General features: G+C 44.8%; 2 annotated features.

Moving 5' to 3' along the window:
• Positions 2,314 to 2,531: a silencer, noted in NCBI's record as "fragment chr10:32536341-32536558 (GRCh37/hg19 assembly coordinates)". NCBI's record gives its function as "represses an EF-1alpha promoter that drives an FKBP-Casp9 reporter gene in an ReSE screen in K562 erythroleukemia cells {active_cell/tissue: K562}" and the evidence as "EXISTENCE:reporter gene assay evidence [ECO:0000049][PMID:32094911]".
• Positions 8,409 to 8,909: an enhancer, noted in NCBI's record as "H3K27ac hESC enhancer chr10:32542436-32542936 (GRCh37/hg19 assembly coordinates)". NCBI's record gives its function as "activates a minimal SCP1, AML or CMV promoter by ChIP-STARR-seq in naive H9 embryonic stem cells {active_cell/tissue: H9 hESC(naive)}" and the evidence as "EXISTENCE:reporter gene assay evidence [ECO:0000049][PMID:30033119]".

A 9,190-nucleotide genomic window follows, 5' to 3' on the forward strand; every position in this document is an offset into this window, starting at 1 on the left:
CTCATCTTTCAGCAGGCTAGCCTAAGCTTATTGCTATGGTAGTGGAAGCATTACCAGCAACACGAAAGTAATTCTCAATGCACAAACTTTCACATCTTTGTTTCCATCACATGTGCTATTATTGTCCCATTAGCCAAGGGAAGTCATGTAGCCCAAAGAAGTGAATACAGGGAGGGAAATTATAGTGGCTATGTCTAAATAATCTACCATAAAACACATTATTTGCTTTGTATTGATACATAATCTGTAGGGTAATCCTTTGAAATCATGTGACTATCCTGTTTCTCAACTTTTTTCTTTTTTTTTTTTTTTTTGAGACAGAGTCTTACTGTTGCCCACGCTGAAGTGCAGTGGCTCGATCTCAGCTCATTGCAACCTCCGCCTCCTGGGTTCAAGCGATTCTCCTGCCTCAGTCTCCTGAGTAGCTGGGATTACAGGCATGCGCCACCACTTCCGGCTAATTTTTGTATTTTTATTAGAGATGAGGTTTTGCGATGTTGGTCAGGTTGGTCTTGAACTCCTGACCTCGTGATCTGCCCACCTCAGCCTCCCAAAGTGCTGAGATTACAGGCTTGAGCCACTGTGCCTGGCCTGTTTCTCAACTTTTTATCCAATGATTTTAGCATCCATTAATAATCCTTGACTGGCCAGGCACAATGGCTCACACCTATAATCCCAGCATTTTGGGAGGCCAAGGCAGGTGGATTACTTGGGGTCAGGAATTCGAGACCAGCCTGTCCAACACAGCAAAACCTCATCTCCACTAAAAATACAAAAATTAGCTGGGCGTGGTTGCGTGCACCTGTAATCCCAGCTACTCGGGAGGCGAGGCATGAGAAACATTTGACCCAAGAGGCAGAGGTTACAGTGAGCTGGGACCGTGCCACTGCACTCCAGCCCCGGTGACAAAGTGAAACTGTGTCTCAAAAAAAAAAAAAAAAAAAAATCCGTGACTATACTATCACATTGGGAGTTACAAAGTGGTGACTTTGTATTTTATTTCTTCTACATTTATTAGTTGGAAATCAGTAAAGAAAAATTCTTCACCTGGCCAACATGATGAAACCCTGTCTCTACTAAAAATATAAAAAAAATTAGCTGGGCATGGCGGCATGTGCCTGTAATTCCAGCTACTCAGGAGGCTGAGGCAGGAGAATTGCTTGAACCTGGGAAGTGGAGGTTGCAGTGAGCGGAGATCACACCACTGCACTCCAGCCTGGGCAACAAAGAGCGAAACTCAGTCTCAAAAAAAAGAAAAAAAAGAAAGAAAAATTATTTCTTTTCCTCTCTTTTCTACATCTCTCTTTGTGATTATCACTATGTACTCAGGGATTTTTAAAGTTCAGTGGGTTATAATTGATAAACTTTCTTTTATTTTTCCCTTTTGTAGCTGTTACCCAAATTATCTCAAATTTTGCTAGTGAGATCTCCTTCAGACTGAATTCTATGTCCTTTTGACATGAGCTCATTAGCCTTTGAGCTCTTCCTTCTTTTTGGAATAAGATGTTGATATTTCATGTTTAACTTGGACTTTCTATGCCTTGGGCTCTGGGATCAGCCAAAGGATTTCTAATTTCTCTAAGGATCCTTAATTCTTTTAAATGGACAATGGATTTTAGAAACCAAGAACTGTGCATCAGATATATTAAGGTTTCTGGAGTGTTGTTTTTAGACTTTTCCTGTGTGTGGAGCTAGAAAATACACACACACCCACACACACACACACACACGCACAATCATGAATTTATACTGATATCTCCAATTTAAAGCTGACACATAGGATTCTTCTTCACTTTCTCCCTACTCCCACCTTTCCGCCCCACTCCCCCAGACACGATCTCACTCTGTCACCCAGGCTGGAGTGCAGTGGCACAATCACAGCTCACTGCAACCTTGACCTCCCAAGCTCAAGTGACCTCTCACCTCAGCCTCCCAAGTAGCTGGGACTACAGATGTGTGCCACCATGCCTGGCTAATTTTTGGTATTTTTTGTAGAGATGGAGTTTCACCATGTTGGCCAGGCTGGTCTCAAACTCCTGGAGCCAAGTGATCTGCCTGCCTCAGCCTCCCAAAGTGCTGGGATTACAGGTATGAGCCACCATGCCTGGCCACTGTTCACCATTTTATATCCACATACATAAAGAAATTTAGTTTGTGATAAAGATAGTACTTCACATCAGTGAGGAAAATATGGTTCATTCAACACACTATTTGGGATATTTGGCTATCAATTTAAACACAAACAATACTCAGTTAAACTAAACAAATTTCAAACTGGCTATAAGAGCTGGGAAAACAAGTACAAAAGTATTAAATATTAGAAAAAATATTGGGAAAAGGTTTATAATCCTAGGGATGGAAAGCCGTTCTTTAAAAAGACCCCCGAAGTCATAAAGGAAAGGCTGACTGATGAGGCAATGAGCAACCCTGCACAACATCCTTGTTTACAAGCGCAAGAGGTGGGACTGCTGGGTCACACTCTGATATGGTTTGGCTGTGTCCCCACCCAAATCTCATCTTGAATTCCCACGTGTTATGGGAGGAATCCAGTGGGAGGTAATTGAATCATGGGGACAAGTCTTTCCCACGCTGTTATCGTGATAGTGAATAGGTCTCATGAGATCTGATGGTTTTAAAACAAGGAGTTCCCCTGCACAAGCTCTCTCTCTTTGCCTGCTGCCATCCATCTAAAAGGAGATTTGCTCCTCCTTGCCTTCCACCATGATTGTGAGGCTTCCCCAGCCACATGGAACTGTAAGTCTGATTAAACCTCTTTCTTTTGTAAATTGCCCAGTCTCGGGTATGTCTTTACCAGCAGCATGAGAACACATTAATACTCACTCCTTGTGAATTTCCAGTTTCGAGAGACAGTGTCACATCATATTCCAAATAGGAGAACGGGCACAGTGGCTCATGCCTGTAATCCAAGTACTTCAGGAAGCCAAGGCAGGTGGGTCACCTGAGGTCAGGAGTTTGAGACCAGCCTGACCAACATGGAGAAACCCCGTTTCTACTAAAAATACAAAACATTAACTGGGCCTGGTGGCTCATGCCTGTAATCCCAGCTACTCAGGAGGCTGAGGCAGGAGAATCGCTTGAACCTGGAGGGCAGAGGTTGCAGTGAGCTGAGATAGCATCACTGCACTGCAGTCTGGGTAAAAGACCGAAACTCCGTCTCAAAAACAAAAAATGAATAGGAACTGCATGTTCATATTTTAACAATAACAATAGCAAGTAACTAGCTGTCTCTTTGAAGGTCTTGAAGGAAGGTCAGAGCCCAAAAGTCAGATTCCAGACCTCCACTTTATTTATTTATTTCTATTTTGTAATTTTTTTTTAAGACGGAGTCTCACTCTGTCACCCAGGCTGGATGGCAGTGATGCGATCTCCCGCTTCAGCCTCCTCAGTGGCTGGGACTACAGGCACGTGCCACCATGCTTGGCTAATTTTTGTATTTTTTAAGTAGAGACAGGGTTTCGCCATGATGGCTAGGCTGGTCTCAAACTCCTGAAAGTTAATCCACCCACCTCAGCCTCCCGAAGTACTGTGATTACAGGCATAAGCCACAGCACCCAGCCCTAACAATAACAATACCAGGTAACTAGCTGTCTCTTTGACAGCCTTAAAGGAAGGTCAGAGCCCAGAGGTCAGATTCCAGACCTCCACTTCAAAATGCTACAGAGCCAGGTCCACACACAAACACGCAGGAGGAGGAGTGGTGTGCAGCAGGATTAGTTAACTGTCCTCAGGGATCTTTGAGGTCTCACACCTGCTCCAGGGCTCCTCATGAGGCCTTGGCCTCTAGGAGTTTGATTATTATGTATTGAGTCTGCTCAGCATCCCTGGGAAGGCAAAGGCCTCAAGTCCATCATGGACACATCTAGGGGCTGAAAGGTCTCCCGATGGGCAACATGGTGGAAGGACTAGACATGCTGAACATGTTCCAGAGATAAAATCCTCCCGCTGATTCTGCCAGGTCAGCCCTGAGTTGAGGTGGTCTAATGGGGCCTTGGAAACACATGTCAACATGTGCCTCTGGCTCCGGATTCTAAGGGACATGGGGTGGTTCCCCAAAGATTAAACATTGAATTACCATTTGGTCCAGCAATTCCTCTTCTGGGTATATACGTGCAAGAATTTAAAAGCAAGGACCTGAACAGTCATTTGTTTTTGTTTTTCCTTTTGTTTTTTTGAAACAGAGTCTTTCTCTGTTGCCCAGGCTGGATTGCAATGGCAAGATCTCGGCTCACTGCAACCTCCGCCTGCTGGGTTCAAGCAATTCTCCTGCCTCAGCCTCCCAAGCAGCTGGGATTACGGGCATGTGCCACCACACGTGGCTAATTTTTGTATTTTTAGTAGAGACCAGGTTTCGCCATATTGGTCAGGTTGGTCTCGAACTCCTGACCTCACTATCTGTCCGCCTTGGCCTCCCAAAGTGCTGGGATTATAGGTGTGAGCCACCATGCCTGGTCCTGAACAGTCATTTGTACACCAATATTCACAGCAGCATTCTTCAGAGTAGTCAAAACGTGAAAGCAACACAAATATTCATCAACAAATGAGTAGATAAACAAAATGTGGTATATACATATGATGGAATGGTAGCCTTAAAAAGTGATAAAATTCTGACACATGCTGTAACACAGATGAACCCTGAAGACATTATACTAAGTGAAATAAGCCACAACAAATAACAATACAAAGTAACAAACAGTTGGATCAGAGCCACACCCTGATGACCTTCAGGTGGATCACCTCAGGAAGCCTGAGGTCAGGAGTTTGAGACCAGCCTGCCCAACATGGAGTAACCCAGTCTCTACTAAAAATACAAAACATTAACTGGGTGTGGTGGCTGGTTCAAACTTCATTATCTCCATAAAGGCCCTTTCTCCAAATACAGTCACACTGGGGGTTGGGGCTTTAACATATGAATTCTGAGTAGACTCAATTCATTCAACAGCATCATGTAAGAGGAATCATACAGTATTTGATTTTTTGGTGTGTTATTCTTCATGTCCTTATAAGAAGAGACACAGAGGCTGGGCATGGTGGCTCACGCCTGTAATCCCAACACTTTGGGAGGCTGAGTCAGGCAGATTGCTTGAGGTCATGAGTTCGAGACCAGTCTGGCCAACATGGTGAAACCCCGCCTCTACTAAAAATAGAAAAATTAGCTGGACATAGTGGTGGGTGCCTGTAATCACAGCTACTCGAGAAGCTGAGGCAGAAGAATCTCTTGAACCTGAGAGGCGGAGGTTGCAGTGAGCAGAGATTGCACCACTGCACTCTAGCCTGGGCAACAGAGTGAGACTCCATCTTCAAAAAAAGAAAAAAAAAAAGAAAAGAAAACACACTTTCATTTCCAAAAAAAAAAAAAAAGACACAGAGACGTCTGTTTCTCCCTGCCACCTAAGAACATAGTGAGAAGGCCACAGCCTACAGCTAGAAAGAGAGCCCTCACCAAAACCGACTATGCTGGCACTTTGATCTCAGGCTTTTGGCCTCCAGAACTTCAGCCTGTCTGTTAAGTTACCCAGTTTATGATATTTTGCTGTGGCAGCTCAAGCTGACTAAGGCATGCAAGGGACCTAGAGTAGTCAAATTCACAGAGACAGAAAGTAGAACAGTGGTTACCAGGGGCTAGGGGGAGAGGGGACTGGGAAGTTACTGTTTACTTACAGTTTCCGTTTAAGATGACAAAAAATTCTGAAGGTGGATAGTGGTGATGGTTACATAGCAATATGAATGTATTGAATGCCATTGAACTGTACATTGAAAGATGATTAAAATGGTACATTTTATGTTATCTATATCTTACCACAATTTTAAAAATTAAAAAAAAGGAAAAAAGCTTGTAAAAAGCTCAAAAAAAAAAAAAGAGTCTAAAGGACATTTTATGGCCTCTCTGGAACCCTGGTTCTGTATGGCCAGCCTCGGTCAAGCTTCCACCTTTCCTGTCATCTCCTCACAGACACACTGAAGATGTTCTGCTAGTGGCTTTGGGATACACACAGTTCAGCAGATAAGGCACAGGAGAACATTTTAAGTTCTGTCTAAATGAGCTCTAGAGCTCTGCTGTCACTGAATTTAAAAGTCTTTTTTCCCAAGAGTAAAACAAATTCAAGAAGGAAAAATGCATGCAGCTGGAGCCTGAATGAGCAGTTTTGTCTCCCAAGACCGGAAAACACCTGTTCCCAGCAGACTTTCTATTGAATTTTATATGGCTTTCAAAAATAGCCCACTTCTTAGCTGACTGGCAAGATTTAGTTATGTTTGGTTGTCTTCCACAATTTTATCTAAGCTCTAGCAATCACACAACATTTTATTTATTTTTTTAGCAGGGAAATGGGTATACAAAATTACTGTCGTAGCTTTCCTAGATCAACTTGTAGTTTTGATAAATCCGGAAGCTTATGACAGCAAAGCACATGTTGTTAGAAAGCACTGGAATCAAGATAGACAACCAGAAGGGGCTTGAGACGACAGAGCCCTGCGACTCCGGGCAGGGGCTCTTGGGCCAGCAGTGTTAGTAGACTCTCAGAGTTTGCTAGAAATGCGGAACCTTCAGCTGCACCCCAGACCCACTGAATCAAAACCTGCATTTTCACAAAATCTCCGGGAATACTCACTCAAGTTTGAGAAGCTCTGAGAGTGACCTTCAGAACTTCCTCAGTGGAATTGCCTGAACACTGATTAAAAATGCATATTCCTGGGTCCTGCCCAACACCTGTGAAAATTACCCCATTATGATTCTTAGACAAACAAGTTTCAGAACTATCGCAGTAGGTGTCTCTTAGGAAGGAAAGCTACTCTGGTGGGGTGCAGTGGCTCATGCCTGTAACCCCAGTACTTTGGGAGGCCAAGAGGAGAGACCAAGACTTGCCTGGGTAATGTAGCGAGACCACCATGTCTAGATATATATTAAAAAATTAGCTGGGCATAGTGGCACATGTCTGTAGTCCTAGTTATTAGGGAGAATTGCTTATGCCTGGGAGTTCGAGACTGCAATGAGCTATATGATTGAGCCACTGCACTCCAGCCTGGGTGACAAAGCAGTACCCGGTCTCAAAAAAAAAAAAAAAAAAAAGGCCGGACACAGTGGCTTACACCTGTAATCCCAGCACTTTGGGAGGCCAAGGCGGGCAGATCACCCAAGGTCAGGAGTTTGAGACCAGCCTGGCCAACATGGCCAAACCCTGTCTCTACTAAAAATAAAAAAAAATTAATAAAATTTTAAAAATTAGCTATGTATGGTGGTGCATGCCTGTAGTCCTAGCTACTCGGGAGGCTGAAGCAGGAGGATCGCTTGAATGTGGGAGATGAAGGCTGCAGTGAGCCTAGATTGCGCCATGATTGTGCCACTGCACTCCAGTCTGGGTGACAGAGCAAGACTCCAGAAAAATAAAAAAAGAAAGGAGGAAGGAAGGAAGGAAGGAAGGAAGGAAGGAAGGAAGGAAGGAAGGAAGGAAGGAAGGAAAGAAAAGAAAGACCCTTTGTGCTACTGGAATTTGAAGGGCCCTTTTCTCTCCACTCCTGGTTTTGTTACAGGAAAGGGGTCCTGATCCAGACCTCAAGAGAGGATTCTTGGATCTCGTGCAATAAAGAATTCAGGGTGAGTCCGTAAAGTGAAAGCAAATTTATTAAGAAAGTAAAGGAATAAAAGAATGGCTACTCCATAGACAGAGCAGCCCCGAGGGCAGCTGGTTGACCATTTTTATGGTTATTTCTTGATGATATGCTAAACAAGGGGTGGATTATTCATGCCTCCTCTTTTTAGACCATATAGTGTAACTTCCTGATGTTGCCATGGCATCTATAAACTGTCATGGCGCTGGTGGGAGTATAGCAGTGAGGTTGACCAGAGGTCACTCTCATCGCTATCTTCGCTTTGGTGGGTTTTGGCCGGCTTCTTTAGTGTAAACTGTTTTATCAGCAAAGTCTTTATGACCTGTATCTTTTGCCGACCTCCTATCTCATCCTGTGACTTAGAATGCCTTAACCACCTGGGAATGCAGCCCAGTAGGTCTCAGCCTCATTTTATCCAGCCCCTACTCCAGATGGAGTTGCTCTGGTTCAAATACCTCTGACAGTTTGAATGGATTTTCAGGACGTTTCTATCATTCTAATTTCATTCTCTCAATCTCCATTTCTCCCCATCCCACCACATGCCAATACAATGGGGTTGAGACAAGAAAGGAAGCCAGGGAAAGACAACCTTTGCGCGAAATTTTCTGAAGGATACACTCTAAAAGGATGCAAAGCTCAGACTTCTCACTGGGCTTACCCTGGAGTAGCCTCCAGATGTGTCATCAGGACTGGGTGTGGCTGAAACCACTTTCCTCCTCCCAGGCGGTAGTGTTAATGACCTGGCAGCTTCTCCCTCATAGGCTTACCTTTGAAAAACCAGACCTGTGTGTGGTGAGACCCAGGGGCCTGGGAAGGTTCCTCCCCAGCTCACAGTCATGTCTGAGATTTCACCACCTGAGCTCCGCTTCTCCAAGGCTGGGAGCACCAGTCTGTGATCTGCAAGCTGTTCCAGCAAACACTGCAAAGAGCATTTGTTGATTTAGGTCTTTCTGCCCCAGGCATCTAGTTGAGAGGATAATCTTATTGGCAGGAGGTAAAGGCCAGGGGTCTGGGAAAAGAGAAGCGTGCAGTATTTGGGGCACAGGAGGGGGAAAGGACACCAATGAGAGGTGTCACCCACTTCTTGGGGTCTGAAGACCTCCACTGGCCAGCTGAGATGAAAGCACATATGGGGGGCTATCCTCCCTACCCCACTGCCCCAGTGACCCGTAGGGCCTGGATAAAGGTAACCAGAAGCTAACTGCCAGAGCTGTGGAAGACAGTGTGAACCAGTGTCTGTCCTGCCCCTTTACCCTGCAGAGGAGGAGGCTGAGTTCCTGCAAGGCCTTGGCAACCTCCAGGACTGCAGTGTGGCATGATGTGGGACCAGACTGTGGCTCTGGAGGGCAGTGCAGGGCTCTCTCCAATGCATCTCTCTGCCTTCAGGCACGAAACCAGAAAACAGGGTTTGGAGGAACTGAGTCCCAGGCTTGCATGTGATAATAAATTTTATATCTGCACCAGATGGCAGGCAGCTTATTAAAAGAATGGGCTTTAGTGTCAGCTAGACATGGGTTCAAATCTGGGCCACTTATTTGCTCAGGTGATGATTCTATTTTTGAGA

The sequence above is a fragment of the Homo sapiens genome, chromosome 10 (assembly GCF_000001405.40).
Source record: "Homo sapiens chromosome 10, GRCh38.p14 Primary Assembly".
Taxonomy (NCBI): Eukaryota; Metazoa; Chordata; class Mammalia; order Primates; family Hominidae; genus Homo; species Homo sapiens.